This window comes from Homo sapiens, chromosome 8 (genome assembly GCF_000001405.40).
Source record: "Homo sapiens chromosome 8, GRCh38.p14 Primary Assembly".
In the NCBI taxonomy this organism is placed as follows: domain Eukaryota; kingdom Metazoa; phylum Chordata; class Mammalia; order Primates; family Hominidae; genus Homo; species Homo sapiens.
In genome coordinates this window covers 86,137,711-86,164,947 of record NC_000008.11, presented here as the reverse complement: position 1 = coordinate 86,164,947, position 27,237 = coordinate 86,137,711, and the positions used below count along the sequence as shown (strand labels likewise).

The 27,237-nt window shown below is 37.9% G+C and overlaps 1 protein-coding gene across 1 annotated transcript in view; it reads right to left on the bottom strand.

Annotated features, from left to right (window-relative positions):
* Positions 1-10,722: 10,722 nt before the first annotated feature.
* ATP6V0D2 (ATPase H+ transporting V0 subunit d2) overlaps positions 10,723-27,237 on the bottom strand; it is a 55,316-nt gene continuing 38,801 nt past the window's right edge. Inside the window, exons 3-8 of the mRNA NM_152565.1 lie at positions 25,313-25,491; positions 23,419-23,498; positions 21,994-22,071; positions 14,660-14,836; positions 13,408-13,482; positions 10,723-12,132 (exon numbers count right to left, since the gene is read on the bottom strand). Coding sequence (NP_689778.1) covers positions 11,971-12,132; positions 13,408-13,482; positions 14,660-14,836; positions 21,994-22,071; positions 23,419-23,498; positions 25,313-25,491 — 751 coding nt within the window. The 3' untranslated portion in view covers positions 10,723-11,970. The remainder of the gene's footprint in view (positions 12,133-13,407; positions 13,483-14,659; positions 14,837-21,993; positions 22,072-23,418; positions 23,499-25,312; positions 25,492-27,237) is intronic.

Sequence of the window (27,237 nt, the reverse complement as noted above, 5' to 3'; positions counted from 1 at the left end):
ATGCAAGGAACCTCCTTATGATTGGATGATCTCTTTTAGGAGGTGATATGAGATTTTGTCATGTACTGGTGGTTTGCACAATTCCAAAGTTATGGGAGGTGGTCACTGGAGTTGGGCAACCTGGCAATGTGGTGACATTGAAACCTGAAGGGAAGAAAGAGCCAGCCATGTGACAATCCAGAGGGAAAAGTCTCTATGTAGAGAGAACATGTATGATGGCCCCAAAATGAGTATCAAAACTAGGTGTATTGGCAACCTCAAAAAAGGCCAGTGAGAATAGGGTAGCAGACAGCAAGAAGCCAATAAGAGAAGATAATGGAAAGGTAGGCAAAGACCTGACCATTATGGGCCCTGTAAGTCATGGTAAAGTTTTTGAGTTTGCTTCAAATCTAATGAGACACAATGGAGAGTCTTAAATAAAAGAGTGACATGGTCTTAGATTTTCAAAAGCTCTCTCAGTTGTAGAGGGAGTGATAGGTTGAAAGAGACAGAATTGAGACAAGTTAGAGGTTTATAGCCCTAATCTTGACAAAAGATGATAAGGATTGGATTTAGGAGATGGGTTAAAGGAATATAATTGGGAGAATTTACTGATGGGTTGCATATAATAGGTGAAAAAGATTAAGATCTCATAATATGACTTCATTATTGAAATTTCAAATTTAAAATCTTAATTAACCAAAACTTTGATAACTAGCATTTTAAATAATTTTAAGGTTGAACAATGACAACATTACTTCCAAATATAAGTCTCAAATTACACTGAGCATGACATACTCTGGTACTCAGTAAATGAGCAAATATATATTTAACAAATAACTTGGTAAAGTAGGTAACATTTTGCCTATTCTAACAACTTATGAAAGTAAATTAACAATATATTATTTTTATCATTTTTCCTGATTTCTCAAATATTAGTGAAATAATAAATATTATGACTGAAAAGGTTTACCTGAAGTGCCTTGGCAGACCAGTCACTGGCAAACCCAGAACATTTTTGTTGCTATTGGACAAGAGGGACTCTTTCTGCTGGACTGGGTAGTTGGTGAGATGGGAGCCTGAGCTCCTTGTGACACTGCATGGGGAAAGACAGATAGACAGTTCTTCATGACATTTTTGAAGCCCTGGGTACAGTTCCGTGAGCTCTTCAACTTTCCAATGATGTGATGTAATAAATTTACTTTTTGTATTTTAAACTAGTGTGATGGGATTTCTGTCATTTCTTTACAGAATGTATTCTGAGCAAGCAAGGATCTTTGTCTTAAACTAGAGGCTATAACTTAAGGAGAAGGGAAAAAATGAAGCCAACAATAAGAAGGATATATGTGTATGTGGAAGAATCAGGACACTTGACATCTAATTTTGACTCTTCTACTCTTAGGTTTTCTGACTTTAGTTTTCTTATTTGGAAAACTAGTATTCGTTCTAGCCCTGAAATTCTATATTTCTAAGGATCTATTTTATGTCTATATTTTAGTATCTTACTTAAATCATACATCTTTTTATTTTTTTTGTCTGTTTAGGAAAGATAGAGCTGTAAGGAAATAAAGACGTGTTTCTTAGAAGGCTAAATCGAATACGAAAACCAAAGAGTATTCAGCTTAATGTACTAAAGTTGTCGGATCAAGATATGACCATAAAAGTATATTGATTTACTGTAGAAAAATTAATGGGTCATACATGTACGTAAATTTATTAATGGAGATATTATGTTGACATTTAGCTTGAATTTATTTTGTAAGATAAAGACCTAGCTATAGATAATGTAGAGAATGCTAATCTCTTAGCAACATACAAAACAAATTGTGCTGAGCAGGTGTTTTGAGGTCCATAAAAGGTATCATAAAAATATAAAAATGGGCTCTCCTAGTATTGGCTTGTATCTCTTTGGAGAAATCATGTGTTATTCATATGTTCTCTGGCTTGGTTAAAACTGTTTCCTTTATTTTCCACATCGCTGAGTGCCTACAAAATTATAACAGAGACTTGGTACGGTGGCCCAAACCTGTAATCCCAGCACTTTGGGAGGCCAAGGCAGGAGGATTGTTTGAGGCCAGGATCTCAAGACAAACAAAGCAAGACCCTTTCTCTACCAGAAATTTTATATATATATATAAAAATATATATAAAATATATATAAAAATATATATATAAAATATATATAAAAATTATAAAATATATATAAAAATGTATATAAAATATATATTCTATATATAAATTTTAAATATATATTATACATAAAATATATATAATATATAAATTTATATATATAATATATATAAATTTATATATAAATATATATTATATATATAAATTTATATATATTATATATAAAGATATATAATATATAATATATATAAATTTATATATAAATATGTATAAATAAATAAATATCTATATAATTTATATATAAATAAATAAATATCTATATAATTTATATATATAAATATATATAATTATATATAAATATATATATAAATATATATATTTATATATAATTATATATAAGTATATAAATATATAAAATTATATATAAATATATATAAATATATAAATATATATAATTTATATATAGATATATAAATAGATATAATTTATATATAAATATATTTATATATAAATATATAAATATATTTAATATATATAAATATATAATTTATATATAATTTATATATATAAATATATATCAATGTATAATATATTTATATATATATTTATATATATATTTTATATATAAATATATATATAAAATATATATATAAATATATATATAAATATATAAATTATATATATAAATATATAATTTATATATATAAATATATAAATTATATATATAAATATATAATTTATATATGTTTATATATATAAATATATAATTATATATAATTTATATATAAATATATATAAATTATATATAATTATATAATTTATATATATATAATATATATATTATTTATATATAATACATATAAATAAATTATATAATTATAAATATATATTTATAAATAAATATATATAATTATAAATATATATTTATAAATAAATATATATAATTATAAATATATATTTATAAATAAATATATATAATTATAAATATATATTTATAAATAAATATATATAATTATAAATATATATTTATAATTAAATATATATAATTATAAATATATATTTATAAATAAATATATTTATAAATATATATAATTATAAATATATATATAATTATAATTATATATATTTATAAATATATGTATTTATATAAATAAATAAATATATATATATATATAAAATTAACCAGGCATGGTGCACCTGTAGTCCTAGCTACTGAGGAGGCTGCGGTGAGAGGATTATTTGAGCCCAGGAGTTCAAGGCTGCAGTGAGCTATGATCACACCGCTACACCCCAGCCTGGGGGACAGAGTGAGACTCTATCTCTAAAATAGATAGATAGATAGATAGATAGATAGATAGATAGATAGATAGATAGATATTAGATAAAAATTAAAAAAATAAATGAAAGGCCAGGCGTGGTGGCTCATGCCTGTAATCCCAGCACTTTGGGAGGCCGAGGTGGGTGGATCACGAGGTCAGGAGATCGAGACCATCCTGGCTAACACGGTGAAACACAGTCTCTACTAAAAATACAAAAATTAGCCGGGCGTGGTGGCGGGCGCCTGTAGTTCCAGCTACTTGGGGGGCTGAGGCAGGAGAATGGCGTGAACCCTGGAGGCAGAGCTTGCAGTGAGCCAAGATAGATCGCGCCACTGCACTCTAGCCTGGGCAACAGAGTGAGACGCCGTCTCAAAAAAAAAAAAAAAAAAGGAAACAGTTGTATGCCTCCCTTTGGAAGAGAAAACTGATGTTGGTCCAAGAATACTGGAAGCCACAGACATTCTGAGACTGTGGGAATGAACGTTTGTACAGCCTTGTAATTCACACGAGGTGCATGTGTGCTTTGACATACTGGCTGAGAAACTCTGGCTTAAAAAAGTAAAGGTGACATAGATGTTCCCATTAATTTTTTTTTTTTTTCTCCAGATGAATGCTCAAAAACTCCCTTCCTGGCCAAGCGCGGTGGCTCACGTTTGTAATCCCAACACTTTGGGAGGTTCAGGCGGGCGGATCACGAGGTCAGGAGTTTGAGACCAGCCTGGCCAACATAGTGAAACCCCGTCGCCACTAAAAATACAAAAATTAGCTGGACTTGGTGGTGGATGCCTATAATCCCGGCTACTCGGAAGGCTGAGGCAGGAGAATCGTTTGAACCCGGGAGGTGGAGGTTGCAATGAGCCGAGATTGTGCCACTGCACTCCAGCCTAGGCAACAGAGTGAGACTCCATCTCAAAAAACAAACAAACAAACGAACAAAACATCCCTTCCTTAAATTCTGGCCTTGGATTTACGTCAGTTGGCCGTGTCATTTAGTCCCTAAAACTTACTATAACAGGGGTGCTAGCCCTTTCATAAGCTTGAAAAGAAAGACTACTGATCTTTCTTTATAATTCCTATACTTTATAAAGTATAAAGACTACTTTATAATTCCTGTTTAATAAAAAGGGAGCTTTTCCTTTGTATCTGCAACAACCACATTTATAAAATGTCTGAGATGAGGGATCACTCTCTATTAAGCATTTGTTGAATTTGAGACGAGCCTTCTTAAAATATACATAGAGCACTTTGGTAGCTGTGCAGGTGGGTCCTTTTGCTGTCCAGCAAAAGCTGCCCTGCTGCCTTCTCTTGGTCTGTGAGAAGTTAAGCGCTTTGCTTCCACAGTGTCTATGAGTTTAAAGCTAGCATTTGTTTTCTTGTTCTGAGTCTATTCTTTATAAATTTAGTGTTTACAATAGTTAAAGTTGGTCAAATACATAGGGAAAACCTAAAGAACTTAGGTGGAAAAATGTTAAAGCATTAGCTTGACCTAGAAAGAATATGCTTCTCATTCATATGCTTTTACTTCGTTTTCCTCAGATTAGTTATCCCTCAAAGCAGGTTACTCTCACGGCTCCAGCCCAGAGTGAATTTTGAAAAAAGTTCTACTCCCTGTTGAGGTTTCTTCTGCATTGACTGCTGATTTAGGCTTTATTATTATTATTATTATTATTATTATTATTATTTTTACAGAGGCATTCCATTTCTCCTTGCTGCTGCCTTCCCATATTTTAAAATTACTCCTGTCTTAAGTCAATTTATGTTTTCCATGTGGCTTTGGAGGGGTGAGCAGTGTCCCTGGCTGTTTTTGATTTATACACACTCATTCTCTCCATAGTCTTCCCTGAAAATGGCCTCATCAATGCAGGATAGCAGAGGCTGCTTCCTCAACATAAATATATATGCTTCCCCCTGGGAAATATATTGATTTAAATTTCCACCTGCTCTTCTGGGATTTATAGTATTTACTGAGGAGGTTATGCGTCTGTCCTGCTCACTCTTTACTCTTCCACTTGGCTTACTTTTATTTGACTTTAAGCAATAACAGTTGACTAAAAAGATAGAAATGATTCATTTCTAGGTGACACGAGGAAATGTGAGAGTGCAATTTCCTTCTATTTCACCAAAGGTAAAGGCTTAAAAGTAATTTTTTTCCATTTGATCATTCAATCCTGGAGTGTGCTTCAAGAAACATCAGCTGGTCAGCATTTGCTTTTATTTTATTTTTTATTTTCCTACAACATAATCTCCGCACAATTATTTTTTTTAAAAACAACCCACAAATTTTCACCTACTGTTCTTGCAAAAACCAATAGCATTGAGTAATGCATTTAATGGATAGGAACATTAATATTTTTAAGAAGTAGAATATGGATGCTTTGGATTATAATTTCAATTTGTTATGTAAGCAAACTACTTGTGACCTTGGTCTCTTCACCATCTCTGTGATTGACATGATTGATTGGGCAGGTAGGGAGCCCTTCTCCACCTAAAATGTTGCCTCCATCCTGAAGCTACTTGCTCAGCACAACAGGATGTCCTTTTAAGATATGGGAAAGGTACGTGTGTACATATATTTCATTTTTCAAATTAAAATTCTTTTCCATTTATTGCTGTCTAACCTGTCATTTCTTCCTCAGCTTATGCAATGGAGGTGTCTAACCTGGAGTCTATAGACCTCTAGGTTGCTCAGTGGATTTTAGAGCATCCATAGTCCTTTCATGCGTTATGCAAAATTTTGGGAGGATGTGCAAATGTCTATTATTCTGAAGAAAGATATCCATGGATTAAAGTCACTGTTAAGGACTCATATTAAATTCTATAGCTAAAATAATCCTCGTGTTTCATGGAGTTACATCCAGTATAAGACACAGTTAAACTGTGAAGTGTTAATTCCCTATGACATAATTTATGTTTGCTTATTTATTTGCATATCTGAATCCTGCAGAACTTTCTTATGATCTACTTTCTGAAAAGCATTTGAGGCTCTGAAGAATTTAATCAGCATATACAACTGTCATTGTACAACCATGGTGAATCCTTGTGTACAAATAAATGATCTGGACACTGGGAGCTGGGATTCCTGGTCACCCACCCATCCAAGCTGATCTTAATAAATATATTACTGAATTTTTAAAAATTGAATCATGAAGATATTAAATCTGAGTTCTAAGTTTTTTATTTTCAGAATAATCTTTTAATTTTTAAAAATTCCTGGTGTTGTAGAAATAACCTGAAATATATTGGTATCCACTCTTACATCTATATGAAAAACAAAATTGTTTAAAACCCAAGTTGAAATAAATCCAAAATGTGAAACAGTGAGCATCTTACACAATGAAATGTACATCTCAGCATTAACAACTGAGCAGCTAAATAGATGCTTTAATTTTTTAAAACCTCCAAAAGTAGAATCAGAAAATGTATAAATTATTTAAAATCTAGAATTTCGATTTGTTTAAAAGATAACGGTAATAATGACATTCACCACTGAAGAGCTTGACTCAGTGTCAGCGAATCTGGTGCTGCTGTCTGACCATCAATAAGAAATCTGTCCCACTAGCAAGTACCGCCAGTCTCAGGGATTACAGGCATGTGCCACCATGCCTGGCTAATTTTTGTATTTTTAGTAAAAACGGGGTTTCGTCATGTTGGCCAGGCTGGTCTCAAATTCCTGACCTCAAGTGATCTGCCTGCCTTAGCCTCCCAAAGTGCTGGGAGTACAGCAGTCTGCTACTGCAATAGAGCTACTGATGTACGTTTATATTTTGTCAGTAAGCCTAGCTTTGGAATGGCGTTTGTAGATCTAGTTAGAATGGTAATTCTCTGGGGACAATTCCTTTCTAATATATTGATATTCACAATGGTCTGTATGTGCATCTTCTTTCCTTATTCTGCTTTCATTCCAAAGATAACTCTAACCTGGCCTCCCTTACATAAGGAGCCAGATGTCATTGATGTTGAGTAGGGCTGTGATGAGTTGGATTTCAATTACTGACCAAACGTTCAGCAAGTGGTGGAAGCTGAAAACTGCAGCACGAATGACTGAGGAGAAAGGGGGAGTCAGTGGAAAAGCCACTATGGAAGGCCAGATGGAATAATGAAGATGCCAGAGAGAGGGATTACTTAGGGAAAGTAGTTTGGGCATTATTATAATTTCCATATCCTATGTTTGTGTATATATAAAACTTACACATCTTATGATTATGCAGTCATCCAAGATGACATCAAAACTCTTGGGCTCAGCTATTGTGAGACATAAGGGATGAAATCACTGAAAATGATGCCCTCTGATAATGCCACATATATTGCCCAGCAATTCTTATTCAGTATATATAAGTACTAGTGTTTCCATTTGCTGAGGTGAAGACAAAATGACTCAAAATGAATAAAATGAATCATACAACAGGGAGAATTTTGTCCGCTCCTGAGAGTAACTAAGACAAAACAGAGTGAAACTGTAATTGCATCTTTCCTGTGTCTTGTTTGTGAGATCTAAGACATTATTAATGCATTTTTAAGTGGTAGACTCAAAAATTACTATTAATGAAGCCCCTCAGATCTGATTATCACCAAGACTTTCTTCACTCTACAGTTTTGTTGTTGTTGTTGTTTTTGAGTTGGAGTCTTGCTCTGTCGCCCAGGCTGGAGTGCAATGCTGTGATCTCGGCTCACTGCAACCTCCACCCCCGCCGGGTTCAAGCGGTTCTCCTGACTTAACCTCCTGAGTAGCTTGGACTACAGGCATGTGCCACCAGGCCTGGCTAATTTTTGTATTTTTAGTAGAAACGGGGTTTTGCCATGTTGGCCAGGCTGGTCTCAAATTCCTGACCTCAAGTGATCTTCCCGCCTCAGCGTCCCAAAGTGCTGGTAGTACAGGCGTGAGCCAGGCCTACAAATATTTCTTTTAGCCTCCCAATGACCTATTACACTGTTACCATGCTGTGGAGGGGGTGGAGGGCTCTCCAGGTACTTAACGGAATTCTGTCAATGTTCAATAATACTTAGCTTTTGGGCCAAACTCAAATTCAGTATCTCCGCCAGCCCTTAGTCAGTGTTCCTCTTTCCTAAAGCATCTGAACAACCGAAACGACTGCCTTTCTTCTGAAATGTTCTCCAAATGTCCTGAGAATTGCAGCTGCTGCATTTGTATCCCATAGAGAAACACAATTCTGCAACTGCAAAATCTCATTAGAGGACTAACAAATTCTGCCCACAGATAGGCTGATAGAGGACCTGCGAACCCTTGAGAGCAATGGATGGGAGCAGAAGGCTAGAGACCCTGAGTACAGGCAGGACTGGCTGCAGACCACCAAGAATTCTGTCTAGAGTTTAATTGGAATATAATGTTCTGACACCAACTGCAGCAGATAGAGGAGGGAATTTGAGGGACTGATGAAATGTTCAGGAGGAGGGTGGAGAAGGGATGGTGAGGAGCCTCAGCTTCAGTTACTTAGAACAAGAAATTAATTTTTTTTATTTTTTGAGACGGAGTCTTGCTGTGTGGCCCGGGCTGGACTGTAGTGGTCCAATCTTGACTTACTGCAACCTCCGCCTCTCAGGCTCAAGCAATCCTCCCACCTCAGCCTCCCGAGTAGCTGGGACTACAGGCCTGTGTCACCACACCTGGCTAATTTTTGTGTTTTTAGTGGAGACGGGGTTTTACCATGTTGGTCAGGCTGGTCTCAAATGCCTGACCTCAAGTGATTCACCTGCCTTGGCCTCCCAAAATGCTGGGAGTACAGGTGTGAGCCACTGCACCCTGCCCAAGAAATTAGTCTTTGCCTCACTGTTTTCTGTGTTCCATGTATAGTATCTGAACTTTTGGGCCTCATTTTGTAAGATGTTTTTCAAAGGTTCATGTTTTCCATTGCAGCCCAGTTCCCTGAGGCATGATGAAGCAGTCAGATCCCAGCTCAGCCACTGAAAAGCTATGAAACTTCAAGGCAAATTCTTCAAATCACAATGTATATATCCTTATCCATGCTAGGTGCACTTTCTACTTGCCTCAAGGGATTAGGGAAGTTCCTCTCTTCTGTATTCACATAATGGTTGGACTCTTGGGTGGCTGAGGAAGGGGTTGGAAGGATTGGAATCGTCTGTTTATATCCAGAGAAAGGGAATTTAACTTCAGCCTGCAGCCTTGTGGCACATTAAGGGCCCTACCCATATCATGTAGAGGTGGGGTGGGAAGGGGATAGTCTGAGAATCACCTTGGTGCCTTTCTTTAAGCTATCCCTTTCCCATCAGTGTCTTTTCCTCCCGACCTTTAAGGGAGCCCTAAGCCTTAAACCCATCACCAGAAACCACAAGTTAAAATGTACAATAGAGGTGTCTCTGGGTCCAACCCCCCACCCCCCCGTGAAGGACAGCATCCTGAGCAAGGCAGGGAAGATGCTTTCCAGACCAGGGGCCACACTTGGTCAGTGGCTGCTTTGGCTCCAGCTGATGGGTCTGCACTGGAGCCCTCCAGGGGGCACTTCAAGTACTAACAGGACCCTGGTGTGGGCTGGGCCTCCTGCATAGATGTGAGGCTAGGCACTTGGCTTTCTTCCTGGTTCTATGAGCTACTATTTTACTGTATGCTTAAAAGTTCCTTTTGGCCGGGCGTTGTGGCTGTAATCCTAGCACTTAGGGAAGTCGAGGTGGGAGGATTGCCTGAGTTTGAGATCAGCCTGGGCAACATGTAGAGACACTGTCTCTACCTTAAAAAAGAAAAAAAAAATTAGGCAGTTGTGGTGGCACACACCTCTGGTTCCAGCTACTTGGGAGGCTGAGAGGCAGGAGGATCACTTGAGCCTGGGAGGTGGAGGCTCCAGTAACCTGTGATCCCACCACTGCATTCCAGCCTGGGTGATGGAGCAAGACCCTGTTTCAACAACAACAAAAAAGTTCCTATCACTAAAATTATTAAAATATTTAACTAAAAAAGCTAGATTTTTGAAGAAAATTTGATTTACTCCTTGGTCTATGCATCTAATTCTAGATATCAGTATTTGTATACTCTCTGTACATATTCTGATTTGAAGAATTTTCAAATATATATGGGTTTATTTTTTAAAACATGGCAAATATAGATTTTACATTTAGGAATATGTTAATATGTTTTATATTTAAAGGAAGGACTTGAGCAGTGCTTTGTTGTCTTTTTTTTCCTGGTAGCTCTATGCACCATTTCTACTGAGATTTTAATAGATAATTCATACCCTGAAAACTGAACCTGCGATTTTTGAATGAGTAAACTACAATTAAGGAGGTCATTTTCTTCTCATGTAAAGAAGGAAGAAACCACAAGAAAGAGAGATATACCTTTTATTTAAAGAAAGGTGTGAAAAGCAAATTTATTAACAAATTTAACACTGCTTGCATCTAGAAGATAGGATTTGAAATTGTGTTGCTTTCTCAAGCTGATTACATCAAAGTATATTAGAAAACAAAAACAAAATAAGGGGCCAGGTGCAGTGGCTGAACAAGGGGCCTGTAATCCCAGCACTTTGGGAGGCTGAGGCGGGTGGATCATGAGCTCAGGAGTTCAAGATCAGCCTGGCCAAGATGGTGAAACCCCGGCTCTACTAAAAATACAAAAAATTAGCTGAGTGTAGTGGTGGGTGCTTGTAATCCCAGCTACTCGGGAGGCTGAGGCAGAGAGTTGCTTGAATCTGGGAGGTGGAGGTTGCAGTGAGCCGAGATCACGCCATTGCACTCTAGCCTGGGCGACAGAGGGAAACTCTGTCTCAAAACAAAACGAAACAAAACAAAACAAAACAAAAAACACATTTTCCAACACTTGTGAACCATGTTGACTACATACAGCTTTGGATTTCTGTGAATCTAGGCAAGGAACAGACAGTTAAAATGTAAATGAAGCCCAGCACAGTGGCTCATGCATGTAATCCCAACACTTTGGGAGGCCAAGGGGGACTGTGGATCCCTGGAGCCCAGGAATTCGACACCAGCCTGGATAATATGTTGAAACCCTGTCTCTACAAAAAATACAAAACTTAGCCTTGTGTGGGGGTGTACACTTGTAGTGCCAGCTACTTTGGAGGCTGAGAGCTGGGAGGATCACTTGAGCCTGGGAAGTCGAGGCTGCAGTGAGCTGTGATCACACCACTGCACTGTAGCCTAGGTGACAGAGTGAGACCCTGTCTAGAAAAAAATTTAAAAGAGAAAAAGTAAAGGAGACATTCAGTATTTGGACCTGTAGAGAAGCATGGAAAAGCAAGAATAAAATACTTTTATTAGGTCCAATTTTTAACATGATCAAACAAGAATAAGAAAAATACCATAGAGTTAATTAAAACTAACCTGTAAGGCCCAGTGAAGAATGAGACAGACATGTGGAAACAAGATCTAATACCACTGAAAACAAGGAAATGCTTTGTTTCAGGGCTGGTTTACTGTGTTTCCATGGATTTGCAACTCATGAAGATATAGTGTGGCTTACTTTTGTGTAGTCTAGATAATATAACATAATTTCTTTTATTTTCTTCAATAACTTCCTTTTAACATTTATAATTTTCTACATTTGAGAACCTTACTTGGGTTATAAAATTGGAATGTAACTGTTGATTTTAGTTCGATGCCTCTGTGAAATACATTCTGCTATCCACACAATATTTCTAATTTCCTGTTCCTTCAGCTTTACATATGCATAAAACACACCGTAGTGGAACTGTCTGTTGAATGCCAGCACATTCATTTGTACCTGAGGAAAGAAAAAAAGTAACACAGATCATCAACTTATTTGGAACATTATGGAATAATATTAAGCTACTGACTGGCTTGAACTTGTGCAGTGCTTATTTGTGTTTAAACAGGCAATCTCTAAATTGGGCCAAATAGAGGAGTATGGTGACAACTCAGAAAGTTCTAAAGAGAGAGTGTCACTCTGCAGATAAATGTAGACAACGGAAGTTATTAAAGTAAGTTTGTAGAATCACAAGAAAAGCTCCAAATTGAAATAGGAACGCTTTCACACTGTTAGTGGGAGTGTAAATTAGTTCAACCATTGTGGAAGATAGTGTGGCAATTCTTCAAGGATCTAGAACCAGAAATATCATTTGACCCAGCGATCCCATTACTGGGTATATACCTAAAAGATTATAAATCATCCTACTATAAAGACACCTGCACACATATGTTTATTGCAGCACTTTTCCCAATAGCAAAGACTTGGAACCAACCCAAATGCCCATCAGTGATAGCCTGGATAAAGAAAATGTGGCACATATATACCATGGAATACTATGCAGCCATAAAAAAGGATGAGTTCATGTCCTTTGCAGGGACATGGATAAAGCTGGAGACCATCATTCTCAGCAAACTAACACAGGAACAGAAAAACCAAACACCACATGTTTTCACTCATAAGGGGGAGTTGAACAATGAAAACATATGAGCACAGGGAGGGGAACATCACACACTGGGGCCTGTCGGTGGGGGGAATAGGGGAGGGATAGCATTAGGAGAAATACCTAAAGTAGATGATGGGTTGACGGGTGCAGCAACCCACCATGGCACACGTATACCTACATAACAAAACCTGCACATTCTGCACATGTATCTCAGAACTTAAAGTATAACACAATTTTTTTTTTAAAAAAGAAACATTATCTCATATGATTAACCAAAATTTTACACTAAAATTTGTAGCATTTGTAATAATGTTCTTCAGCAAATTCCATGAGGAATTGAATGTACTTCCATTACTTCTCGCAGTTTTTAAGTAAACTCTTTTAGGAGGGTATAAAAAAAAAAAAAAAAAAGAAAGAAAAGCTACAAACTTTAGCAGCACTGCTAGCACAAAGATTCCTAGGTCTGTGTGTAACTTTGTAGCAATAATACATCACTGACTATCAAGCTATGAATGTGCCTAATCAATTGGCATGATCAGCTGTAAAAAGAAAACCCAAAGTAAGAAAATATATAAAATCCACAGTAAGAGAAAAATAAGCTAATAGTATTTCCACTTATATCATACCTCACGCTCGTAAAACACGTCCTCCAATGTCTTTCCCCCACTGCCACCTACAGCTTCAAATAAAGGTTTGTATACCTTAAAAACAAAGACATTAATTTTAAAGACATTTTCATTTCTTATAAATGTATATAAATATATTTTTCCTAGCATTATAGAAATTGTGTACCTATTTAAAAAAAAATACCAGGAGGACTGAATGTTTTTTTATAGGATTTTGGCCTCCCGAAGAAACAATAAAAAAATCCAAATAACAAGAGTGTGGATGAAATTCTAGCCTATTGGCTTGTTCAGGGCTACAAGGCAATTCAACTCTCAGTATACAGTGTTTGAGCTCATTTTCTCACTCAGGTTCTTAGGGCTAGCTAGGTACATTATAGAAGCTCAGTGAATGTTCATGATTTGGTCAGTAAGGGTTCATGGTTCTTTGAGATGAAAATTGATAAAATTCACATGTAGTTTCCAGTGTGGAAGGGGTGGAATTTGGGAGAAATTCAAATTTTAATATTACGCTAAAGAGTCTCACGCAATTACATATGAGATGTCACAAGGGTTACGCATTTGCTGACTTTCATCTTTCCTGGAGTGCTTCAGAAATCTGGAGGAAAAGATGAGTGTCATTCTAGCCCTGGAAAAGTTACCTGGAGGTTATGTAAATGTGTGCAAGTGAGAGGGAATGGAAGCTGAGCCAAAGTGTACAACCTTAAGCTGAGGAGCTTCAGGCGCTCCAAGAGCAAATGGATGCTGGAGTGGGGGAAGGACACAAGCAGCTATGTTTCCTCTCCTGATTTCTGGCCACTCAGCAAGGTGAGTGGAAAAACTAATACATCCATATTGTTCCTTGCCGTCCACCTAGACGTTCTGTGGCTAACCTTGTTTCCCTAGTGGGTACCTGAAAGGGCTGCTGGGTTAGACTATTTTACATAACGTTGATATGAGCTCACATTTCCAGAACACTGAACCAGTCTCCTGGGGGAACTTGCTTTATCAAACACTTCAAAAGGAGTGCTCAGATGACCATTCCTTGGAGATTTAAACAAGTACTTGCTTGGCAGGAACTTTAAAAATTAGCAGCTTGGGCTAGAAACTTAACGTGTTTCTTAGGGAGAGATTGCTTCAGCAAGAAACACTGATTGCTACCTTACAAATATTATTACTTCTTTTGAGTATAAGCGGAAATTTGATGTGTGAGCTTCTAAAGCACATGGAAATGAATGAACACAAAGGACTTAGGGAAGCCAGTGTCATCACATACTCCGTAATGATCCGCTACGTTCTTCATCTGGTCAAAGTCTTCTGCTTGAGCCAACAGCCGCAACCCCTCAGGATAGAGTTTGCCGAAGGTTGGATAGAGGGTCTCTCGGTCTTCTTTGCTCAATTCAGTGCCAAAGGAGTTAAGAGTGATGATAAAAGCACGTCTGTCGGCCTCAAACTGAATTTGCAAGACAAAACCAGTAAAATCTAATAAACTGCTAAATGCTATAAACAGACTCTTAAGTGCACACATTCATTTCTGAAATGATTCGCTTTCCTTTCTGGATCTATGTCTAATTATACTCCAGACATGTGTTATTAGTGTTCCCTTAGTCTTTTCTTGTAATGGAGTAACTCTGCTTGCCAGAGAAGGATCACACAGCAGCAATGATAACCTATGACTCCTGAAACCCCAGTAAGATTTATTTCCCGGGCACCCTGCAATGAATTCCTCATGTGTCTCTGTCACATTAGGCCGCTAGTGTCACAAGTGTCTCTTCTATAAAAAGGAGAATACCTATTTCTTAGGGTTCATTCAGGGGCAGAACCAGGTAACATAAGTGGAAGTGCTTAGCATGATGTTTGGAACAAAAAGTGTATGCCATACATGTTAATATCCCTTCCTAGTTGTCAATGTCAGCATAACTTTTTACATAATGAAATGTTGTGCTACCTACCATTTGTTTACACTTTTATGGCTTTGGTTTTCTTTGTTAGTGTCCTAGGTGAGGTATCAATAAATCTAAGACTGTAGCTAAGAACTATGTGGGTTAGGGCAAATCATCTTTCTCGCAAGAAGTTTTCTTCTTTGTAAGATGCTGGAATGTGGCTACATGATCTTCCAGGTAGGTCAACACATACTCACGGCCTGTCTTCTCTGTGCTGAACACCACTAGGCACCTGGGCTCGTATCCCTTCATCATTCCTGTTTCATCTGACCACTGAAGTCTTTCTTGAAATTTCGTTTCTATTCCTTTGAGCTCCATGTTTCTACAGTCTCTTGGTTCTCCTCCTCTGGCCATTCCATCTCAGTCTCTCCTTTAGGGGCTCCTCTGCCTATTGTGGGGGCTTGCCATGGTTTTCTTGGGCTACGCAGCTCTTCTCTAGGTACTCCAAATGCCCAGTAATTACCACTTCATTTTGAAATCTGTGCCTGCATTTCTCCCCACTACACTCTAAAATCTTTGAAGAACCATGTCTTTCTTGTTCATTGGTTTTTTTTTTTTTTTTTTTTCTTCCTTTGGAGATTGGGTCTCACTCTGTCATCCAGGCTGGAGTGCAGTGGTGGGGTCAGGACTCACTGCAGCCTCAACCTCCCACCTCAGCCTCCCAAGTGGCAGGGACTACAGGCATGTGACACCATGCCCAGGTAATTTTTCTTGTAGAGACGGGATTTTGCCATAATGCCCAGGTTGGTCTTGAACTCCTAGGCTCAAGAAAGCCTCTGTCCTGGGCCTTCTAAGGGTTAGGATTATAGGCATGAGCCACCACGCCCAGCCTTTTGTTCATTTTTGAATAGCCAGTGCCTGACACATAAGAAAGTCTTAAGTATTTACTGTATCCAACAGAGTGATGTGTGATCCTACTACTTTGAAATTCTCCAACATTCTCCATAATGTTGCTATTCAAAGCAATATTTTATGGCTCAGTAGATTTGACGTCACCTGGAAACTCATTAGAAGTGCAGAGTCTCAGGCCGCAGTCCAACCCTACTCAACCAGAATCTGCATTTTCATAGGATTCCCAGGCTATCTATATGCACGTGAAAGCTGAAAAGAATTGCTGTATGCTATCCTCTAATCAGCTTTTGACTGGTTAACCTATAACAAAACCCAACTTGCAACAGATTTCACTGGAAATCCTATGTAAGAACAGGTGTTTTCTATCAGGAGAGTGAGAGTTAGTTCCATCTGACCCTGTTGATTGCTCTCATGGAGATTATGTGTGAGCTGAAAAGTAGGGAGTGGCTTTATGTGGAAGCAAGGGCAGCTGTCTCTGGCTACTGAATATAACCAGTCCTGTCAGTAATTTTAGACCTTCTAGGGATAAGAGAAGAAATGGAAGAAGAAGATTTCGTGGCAATAAGAAAACTTAAAACAAAAATTAGGGCAACTAGAGCAACAATGGAGGTAATTGTCATAGATGTTCTTTAATGTGCTCTCAGATTCTAAAATGTCATGATCTTACGAAGAGAATTAGGGCAACGTAGGCAGCATTGCAGACTGGCAAACAGCAGAGTCCAGGCCAGAAGAGGGAGCTGCAGGAGACAAAGCAGGATGATTTGGAGGAATTGTCATGGCTCAATCATTGGGAAAGCAATTGGAGAAGTGGGAAGGACAGCTGGCTGGGGAGAGAATATGAATATAAGAAGAAAGGGCTTTGGCTGATACAGTAGGTTATCTGAGCCCTCCATCTTCTCGCTACCTCCTTGTCCTTGTAACCACTTCTTCCCTTAGCCTACCGTGCATGTGCTCTGTTCCATAACTCTGCATGCTGAAATCCTCCCTGCGCTCCTGTCCCATCAAATGTCATCTTTTTCATAACAAGCCCTTCCATTTCTTCTCTAATTGGATATGATTCCCTTTGAACCCTGATTACATTCCATTTTCCTTTTATCATAACTGACTATATATCTACCTTACTCTTCTAGTCTAGAGGCTCTTTTGGGTAAGTGTGTGTATTATCCTATGGTGAAAACACCCATCGTTTTAGAATTGGAAAAGGACTGTTCTTTGACCATCCCTAAGCAGAGTTTGACACGCATTTGATTAGAGGAGACTGAATGGGCTGGTGTTAGTGTGACTTAGTTCCTGTTTCTTGCAGAGAGTTGGCACGCTGTGTGGTATGGTGTATGTTGGCAGTCCCATGACTTTCCTTTTACTTTTCCCTATAAAAACTTACTCATGTTAAAACTAGACCTTATTTTTTTTGTTATTTCAAGAGATAGCAATGAACTGTTTACTTGCTCAAAATCACTATCGGTTGCACATCATAAACTCAGACCGATGGGGTCACACATTCTCTCCAGTTCCTCATGGGAAGAAGGGTGCACCTGGCAGGAGGCAGTGGGCGGAGATGTCAGTGGCAATGGAAAAGAGTGAAGTGAACTGGAATGGAGCCCAGCCTTATCAGCACATGCACTGACCAGTAGAGATCAAACAAACATATTTTATGATTGTTTTTCACTGCCCTATTAACCATAAGATTGAAGAGTAGGAGTAAAAGGCAAATATTATACTACAGTGCATTTGCCTTGAACATAAGTCAATTTCTTTTTTTTTCATATGAAGTTATAATCTTGTAATTAGGTCAAATTTTCACATGTAAGCTGAGGTTAATGGTCTCTTCTACCATATTAAGTCTCTTGAAGTCTCTGGCCAAATGAGAGTAATTGAGAATATACATGGAACCTATAAACAGTAAGTGCTTTATAGTTACAAAAGTAAAAGGGAGGTAATTACATGATCGAAAGTATTTATGTAAAGCTGACAAACACCCTTTGATCATATAATTATAAATGTTATAACCTCATGCCCTGTGTAGCTGATATTTCTGTATAAATAAAAACTGTTCAATGGATTTTTATTTTTATTTCTTAGAGACAGGATCTCACTCCGTCACCCAGCCTGGAATGAGGTGGCTTATGGCTCACTGTAACCTGGAATTTCTGGGCTGAGGCGATCTTCCCACCTCAGCCTCCTGAGTAGCCAGGACTATAGGTGTGTTCCACCATGCCCGGTTAATTTCTGTATTTTTTGTAGAGGTAGGATTTTGCTATGTTGCCCAGGCTGGTCTCAAACTCCTGGCTTCAAGCGATTCTTCTGCATAGGTCTCCCAAAGTGCTGGGATTACAGGCATAAACTACCATGCCTAGCTGGATTTTTTTTTAATGCTGTTTGAAACAAACAAACAAACACTAATCTCATCTGATACCATGAAGATTGGAAAAGTACCATGAGAACACTGGGCATATCGTAGTTTGATCACATCATCCCAGTGATAAGCATTTTTATGATACTATCCTTTTTTTACATTACCAAGGATTACAAAGCCATAATTCTTACCTATTTCTTACCTATTCAAAGATGTAATTCTTACCTTACCTATTTACCAATTTTTATAGTACACAATATGATCTTGCTTATGAATTAGCACTCACGTTTATATAAAAGAATTGTGAATGGTGAATTTAATGCAGAGGCACTATGGCAGAGTGGATAAGCACATAAGTACGTGAGCCAACTGCTTGCATTCCAATCGTGACTTACTAGCTGTGAGACGTCGGGTAAGTTATTAGCCTTCTCTGTGCCTCAGTTGCTCCTCCTGAAAAATAGATACTAGACTACCTATTCTGTGTGGTTTTGAAGTCTAAGTGAATTCATGTATGTAAAGCACTCAAGATAGCATCTAGCACGTAGTAAGTGTTAGCTATTAATAGTGCTATTGTATACCTTTGATAAGGTTATGAGTCTTGATATAACTTTTATTTCACATATTTCATGGGTATAAAGTAAGCAAACCATTTCCAAACCACAAGAATTATGCTGAGTAGAAATTCTACTTTTGAGCCATAGATAATATGGATTCTTATAGTATGGCTAGTAGTTGAATTTATGAAAAGAAAGGATAGGGCTTCATAGGGTCACCAGTTAATGATGTTGCATGATTAGCATGACTGAGAGAGACTATTTTTCATTCTGTCATTTACTATGCCTCAAAATGTTATTTATTTATTCGATATCCACTTTCTGTATAATATAGATAAGAACAAGAATATTTTTTGGAGATCTTTAGTGATAAGATTTTCACTTCACAACTATTTAGGCTTTATTTTAAGAATTTCAGGCTTGGACAACATAGAGATACCTCGTCTTTTCTTTTCTTTTCTTTTCTTTTCTTTTCTTTTCTTTTCTTTCCTTCCTTCCTTCCTTCCTTCCTTCTTTCCTTCTTTCCTTCTTTCCTTCTTTCCTTCTTTCTTTTCTTTCTTTCTTTCTTTCTTTCTTTCTTTCTTTCTTTCTTTCTTTCTTTCTTTCTCTCTCTCTCTCTCTCTCTCTCTTTCTTTCTTTCTTTCTTTCTTTCTTTCTTTCTTTCTTTTCTTTCTTTCTTTCTCTCTTTCTCTCTTTCTTTCTGAGTCTCACTCTGTTGCCCAGCTGGAGAGCAGTGGCACGATCTCGGCTCACTGCAACCTCCACCTCCCAGGTTCAACCTTCACACCTCCTGTGCCTCAGCCTCACAAGAAGCTGGGATTACAGATGTGCACCACCACATTCAGCTAATTTTTTTTTTTTTGTATTGTTAGTAGAGACAGGGTTTCACCATGTTGGCCAGGCTGGTCTCGAACTCCCAACCTCAGGTGCTCACCCAGCTTGGCTTCCCAAAGTGCTGGGATTATAGGTGTGAGCCACCATGCCCAGCCAAGACCTGGTCTTTTCAAACTTTTTTAAAAAATAAAACACTTAGCTGGGCATGGTGGCATGTGCATGTGGTTCCAGCTACTCAGGAGGCTGAGGTGGGAGGATCATTTGAGCCCAAGAGGTCGAGGCTGCAGTGAGCCATGATCATGCCACTGCACTCCTCCAGTTTGGGCAACAGAGTGAGACCCTGTCTCAAAAATCAAAACAAACAAACAAAATCTCAATAAGGAATAGCAAAATATCTTCAACTATAAAACTTTTTTGTTTCCTTTTTCTATATCAGAAGTCATCAACCAAGTAAAATTTTAATGATTAGATGTTTTGAGGGGAGCTAGTTTTATCATATGCAGTTTCAGAGCATTAGGTTGAAATACTTGCAAATGAAGTTAATTTTTTTCTTTTTACCTGAAGGGTAATGCTTATTAGGCTTTTCTTGAAATCAGAATTCCACCCACCAGTGAAGTCACTGTACCAGATAATGTAATGATGAAAAATATTCTTTAGATAAAATTTAGTTTCACAGGGCAAAGTAAGGGCTTACAAAAGCCCAAAGTGATATTTTTTCTTTTTAAGTGAATTAGGAAATTATTTACTAGCAAGAGGAATGGAGGTAAAATACTCAGTGCAAATTATGTGCAGGATGCCCCACAAATCCTTCTGATCTCTGCCCTGAATCTCCCATGCATATGCAGGTCAACATTCTTATGCAAGAGGACTCCTAAGCATAGATGAAATCTGTGGTCCTTAAGAGGAATTAAGTTATAACATCAGCTAGAGAGGTAGATACCAATGGTGGTGTTTGACACATAATTAAATGAGCTTACCAACTGTGAATCACATAACAAATGAGTCTTCCTGCCAAAAGCTGGAATGTTCATGGGTTGCTTGGGGCAGCCTTTATTTTAGGATTTGTAAGGCACAATGTCCCTGTGGATGAAGCTATAGTGGACTTTTGATGCCAAGTTGTGGGGGTTCCCAGCTGCCCAATGTTCCCTCACCAGAGGGAATTTGGGTGATTATGGAGTGTCTATAGTCCATCCATTGCTCATAGTGTCAGAGGCATTTGAACCAGAGCAACTCCATCTTGAATAGGGGCTGGGTAAAATAAGGCTGAGACCTACTGGGCTGCATTCCTAGACGGTTAGGCATTCTAAGTCACAGGATGAGATAGGAGGTTAGCACAAGATACAGGTCATAAACACTTTGCTGATAAAACAGGTTGCAGTAAAGAAGCTGGCTAAACCCCACCAAAACCAAGATGGCACTGAGAGTGACCATGGTCGTCCTCACTGCTACACTCCCACCAGCACCATGACAGTTTACAAATGCCATGGCAATGTCAGGAAGTTACCCTATGTGGTCTAAAAAGGGGAGACATGAATAATCCACCCCTTGTTCAGCATATAATCAAGAAATAACCATACAAATAGGTAACCAGCAGCCCTTGGGGCTGCTCTGCCTATGGAGTAGCCATGCTTTTACTCCTTTACTTTCTTAATAAACTTGCTTTCACTTTACTCTATGGACCCAAATTCTTTCTTGCTGAGATCCAAGAACCCTCTCTTGGGGTCTGGATTGGGACCCTTTTCCAGTAACAACAGTATACTAAATTTGTTATTGTTTACAATCTATTTTTTACATACTACATTAAAATGAATCATAACCAAATCTGTGTAAACATTATTATTTTCTAATTCCAAGCTAACTTTTCCATGTAGAAAACTTCCATATTCCAACTTAAGAGTTGGAAAATACAACTCTTAATCAAATATATCAAATCATATGTATAATAAAATGTACTGCTTGTCTTACTTCTAGATTAAAAAAAAATTCAAAGATAAGGAAATATAAGTAAGGTTAAAACAATAAAAATATGTAAGCACCTTATTTAGCATAACAAAATTCAAGGACTCTTTCTTACCTCAAGAATGGGACACATAACTTCTGCTGTGACATCACCATGATTCTTACAGAATTTATAGAATGCCTCAAGGTAAGACTTAAAAAGAAAAAAGATCATAAAGTGATATAATGAATATATATTCCTTTTGAAAATGTCTAGATCAGCTTTTCATGGTTTATTAAATGCTTTAATGGAATCTGAATTACATCTCCCATAGGAAGATATTTTATAATAAATTTGGTAGAAGCTTTCACATTGCAGCATGTTGCACAGTCTAAAAAAGAATTCCAGAAAAGGACAAAACTGCATTTATCATAACTTATAATTACTTAACAAGCACTTTTTTTGCATGGTTTTGGATTATTTCATATGGTTAATTCTTGCTATTTTAACAAGAGTGCCAAGTTCTTTTCTGAGATCAGTGAATAATTTTAGATTTAGCCCTATGCTGACATTTAGTCTCTTGTAGAGGCACATTTGGGATGGCTTTGAGCATGGAGCTATATGGGAAAGGCTGTAGGGTCAGACTGCCTGAGTTTGGATCCCAACTCTAATACGTTTTAGCTAACTGACTTCTTCCAAAGAAACCTTGGCTCTCCAAGCCTCAGTTTTCACCTCTGAGGAATGGAGATAGCATAAACATCATATTTTTGCCAGGTGGATTAGTGAGTTAAGGCCTATAAATTGCTTAGAACGGTGCCTTCTGTTAGTTATATCTCAAGGATGCCTCCTCTAGGCCCATAAGTCACTTTACCAAAAGGAACACTGCCTGCAATACAATGCTTTTGAAAGGACCACATGTTTGAACACAGCATGCCATATATGTTCAGTTACTGTGTGTGAGTGTCCAAAGAGGCTATGGTTATTTGACTAAAAATGGACAGATTTTGCTCAGCCTAAAGTATATACAGCTACTCAAATGGTGGCAGCACAGTCCAGACAGTCACATTATGCAAAGTGGTACCTATGATGCAGTGTACACAAATTGTTCATTCTGGTATGCTGCACACTGTAGATTAAAATTGTGTGGGCAGATTAGCTGTGAGATTCAGGGATACTAACAGGATTGAGGACAGAGATGAACACTACATAGCAGAAGGTTTGCTATGTATGCTGGTTGCTTTAAATGGATTGATATTGTTCACCCCATTTCTTCACCTACCATCATCCAAACACCTTTTATGTTCCAGGTACCATGCAAGGAGCTAGGAATATGGAAGAATAGGGCATGTTATTTCCTTTCAAATATCTTGCTGGCTAGGGGAAGCTGACATGCATGCATTTAACTAGAGGACAGGCCAGAACTATAAAAGCTATATTCCAAATATGCACAGTTTCATAATTGCAGAAGTTGGTTAATGAGTAAAGTAAGTTTTAATAGAGAACTCTAGTCACAATACATTGTGTAATCAAGAAAAAGACAATATTTGGGAAAACCATTACCTTGTATAGTTTATTGCGTAGCAATTCAATATTCAGTTCATCTAGAGCATTTTCAGACATGCAGTCTTGGAAGAATGGAGCTGAAAGCAGAAATTGCCATACCAAAAAATGAATCTTAAGCAAGATTATAAGCTGTAGAAAACGTATCCTGAACACACCACCCTCTGCTCACTCCTGACAAGAACACTGCAGAGTTGCAATCCATACACTCCACTAAATAGGGCTAATAGTAATGAGGGTGAAAGCAGTTATTACTTTTTAAGCATTTATCATGTGTAAGCCCTAAACCAGGGGTCCCCAACCCCCAGGCCACAGACCAACACCAGTCCGTGGCCTGTTAGTAACTGAGCCACACAGCTGAGGTGAACAGTGGGCCAGAGAGTGGCTTCAACTGTAATTACAACTGCTCCCCACTGTTTGCATTACCACCTGAGCTCCCCCTCCTGTCAGATCAACGGCAGCATTAGGTTCTCATAGGAGAGCAAACCCTATTATGAACTGTGCATCTGAGGGATCTAGGTTGTGTGCTACTTATGAGAGTCTAATGCCTGATGATCTGTCACTGTCTCCCATCACCCACAGATGGGACTGTCTAGTTGCAGGAAAACAAGCTCAGGGCTCTCACTGGTTTTACATTATGGTGAGTTGTATCATTATTTCATTATATATTACAGTGTAATAATTACAGAAATAATGTGCGCAATAAATGTAATGTGTTTGAATCATCCCGAAACCATCCCCTCTCTCCTGTCATGGAAAAGTTGTCTTCCACGAAACCAGTCCCTGTTGCCCTAAAGGTTGGGGACTGCTGCCCTAAACCTCACTCACTACACTATACACTGAATATACTTTCATTTAATCTTCACAACACCTTGGAGCTATTCACTTAAGGCTTTTTTTTGAAGTCCCTCCTCCTTCACTATCTAATAATAATATTTATTATTTGCAACTTTAGTATGTGCCAAGCATTGAGTTGTACTTAAAAGTGTGTTTTATTTTTAAAACTCTGTTATAAAAAGATACGATTATTTCCAAAATGAGGAAACTGGGGTGAATTGAATTGCTCCTAGTCACCTTGCTGGGACCGGGCAGAGCCTGGTTTCATGCTCATGGTTGTCTGATTGCAGTCTCAACCTCTCTCGATCAGCCTATGCTATCTCAGTATCGGGTGCTTAATGATGACACAAATATTTTTTTTTTGCTTTTTAAAATATCTATCTTAAACAGCAACTATTTTGACAAACGATCAATAGTGAATTGCTACTATCCAGATTTCCTGACAATATTAGATAATGATGCTTATACAATTATCTCTTTAGCATTTTGAACACAACTCTTGTTAGTGCCAAATTATAATGAAATTAACAATCATTTCATCATTGCTTCTGATGACTTGACAGATACTCTTGAGCATCTCAGAAAAATGACATTTTTAAACTTCCTGAAAGAAAATGCTTCCTATATGCAGCCTTATCTAGACAAAAATTTAAATGGAAGGACAAGAAACTAATTCTGTAAAACCAAGCTAGAAAATTACATTTTTTTTGAAGAATGACAAGTGCTATTATTTATTTGCTATGACCTGGTATAAAGTGAAAAGTTTGAAGGTTGAGAGATGAGCTCCAGTTCCTTCTCTACTACAAATGGTTCACATGTGATCTGAGCAGGTTGCTTCATTTGTCCTGATCTGAAAAATGAGGGAGCTGAACTAGATAATTCCTTAATGTCTCTGCCACTTCCAGGAATCTGCATGGTATGCTACTGTATTCATGGAAAAAAATTGTGAAATCAAAGTACATTTTCTTTTGGACCACAGGGAAGAAAAAAATAGTACATTTTCTAATGACTGTGATAACATACACAAGCAGCTACAAAATTACCTAAGTGTTCCTACCTAATGGCGTTTCGATCAGAATGGCATTAAAGAGATCTGAAGGTGTCTCTGCAATGTTGACAGCTTCCATTTCTGTGAAACGGCCCAAGGGGTGGCACTTCCCCAGAATTTCTTTCACAGATTTTTTCTGCAATGCACCATTCATCAGCAGAATCACATTGTCTATCATATAACTGCACCTGGTTCAGAAGACAACTCAATCATTAGAGGACAGCTGCAAAAGGATAAGAAGCATCCCACAAGTAAAAAACACACACTCTTTAGGTACACACTGTTTCATTCAGAAAATACATGAGTCTCTTTTTATTTTAAACACTGGGGTTTAGGAGATGTGGAGAAAAATATATGACCTCTGAGACTGTCATAAATTGAAAAAGCATATTCAATATTCTTTTTTTTTTTTTTTTTGAGACCAAGTCTCTCTCTGTCACCCTGACTGGAGTGCAGTGGCCCAATCTTGGCTTACTGCAACCTCCGCCTCCTGGGTTCAAGTGATTCTCCTGCCTCAGCTTCCTGAGTAGCTGGGATTACAAGCTCTCACCACCATACCCAGCTAATTTTTGTATTTTTAGTAGATACAGGGTTTCACTGTGTTGGCCAGGCTGGTCTCAAACTCTTGACGTCAAGTGATCTGCCCGCCTTGGCCTCCCAAAATTCTGGAATTATAGGCATGAGCCATGGTGCCTGCACCTGGCCATGAAAAAGCATATTCAATATTCTAACAACTAACTAAATAAAACCTTGGCTGGTGGGAATATGCGGAAGAAGCCCCTCCACAGTCATTCTCAAATGTGATGGTGGGGGGTGAGGGTGTGAACTTGTTTGGTTTATCAGAATGGACAAAGGGCTTGAAAAGTTGAAAAACACAGAGCTGGAGCATCTTACTCTACTTTAAAAACTGACTACTATATTTGAAACTGCAATGAAGCCTATCACTGAGGATTCAAAATTTAATTCTAAAAAATACTGTGTAATTCTGTCCTCGCATGAGATCACATTGTGAATTTTCTAGGCCACCTTCCTCACATCCCCGAGTTTATTAATTCATATTAATTCATATTTTAATCATTTTTATGTGATTTCTTTATTTGGTATAAGCTCTGCTCGGGATACCCTGGGTGCATGTCCTGGTTCACTCATGTAGTCAGCACCTAAGATATTACAAGCAATGAGGTTGAGAAGTAAATGAGACCTAGGGCCTTCCTTTACAAAGAATACAGCTTAAGTGAGGAAATGGACAAAGAATCATTTACAACAAATCACAATAGGGCATACATGCTATGCAAAATAAATTATAGGGTGGTGTGGAGAATCATAGCTGGACGCTAAACCAGTCCTGGAATTAGACTTGCTAGAGAAATGACAGTCAAGTAGAAACTTGAAGAATTAGTAGAAGCTGGCCAGCCAAAAGGGGCTGGGAACTGGGGAAAAGCACATTTCAAGGCAGAAGGGAGAACATTTGAAAAGCCCCAGAGATGGGAACACAAGGATACTCAGGGTGTTTCCTTTGCCTGGGCCGAGCACTGGAGCTGGGGCTGGGGCTGAGCATGTTGGGCCCCGAAAGACAAGATGAGGAACTTGAATGTTAAGGGCAACGGAGGATACTGACTGCCCTTACACTGAAGGGAATATTATGACCTATGTAAATGTTAAAACAGGAGAAAAGGTAAACAAACACCTATACAATGAGGTGCTTTACAAAAAGTTATCTTTTCAAACCATAGCTGCAACACTGTGAGGTATGTCGTATTATTATCTCCATTTTATAGACGAGAAACCAGAGGCCCAGAGAGGTGAAAATACAACCCATGATGACACACAAAGCTGACAAGTAGGAGAGCTGAGACTCAGACTCAGGCAGTCTGCTTCTGAAATCTTCCTCTGAACCCTCACATTATGTGCTTTTAGTTTTTGGGGTGATGTGT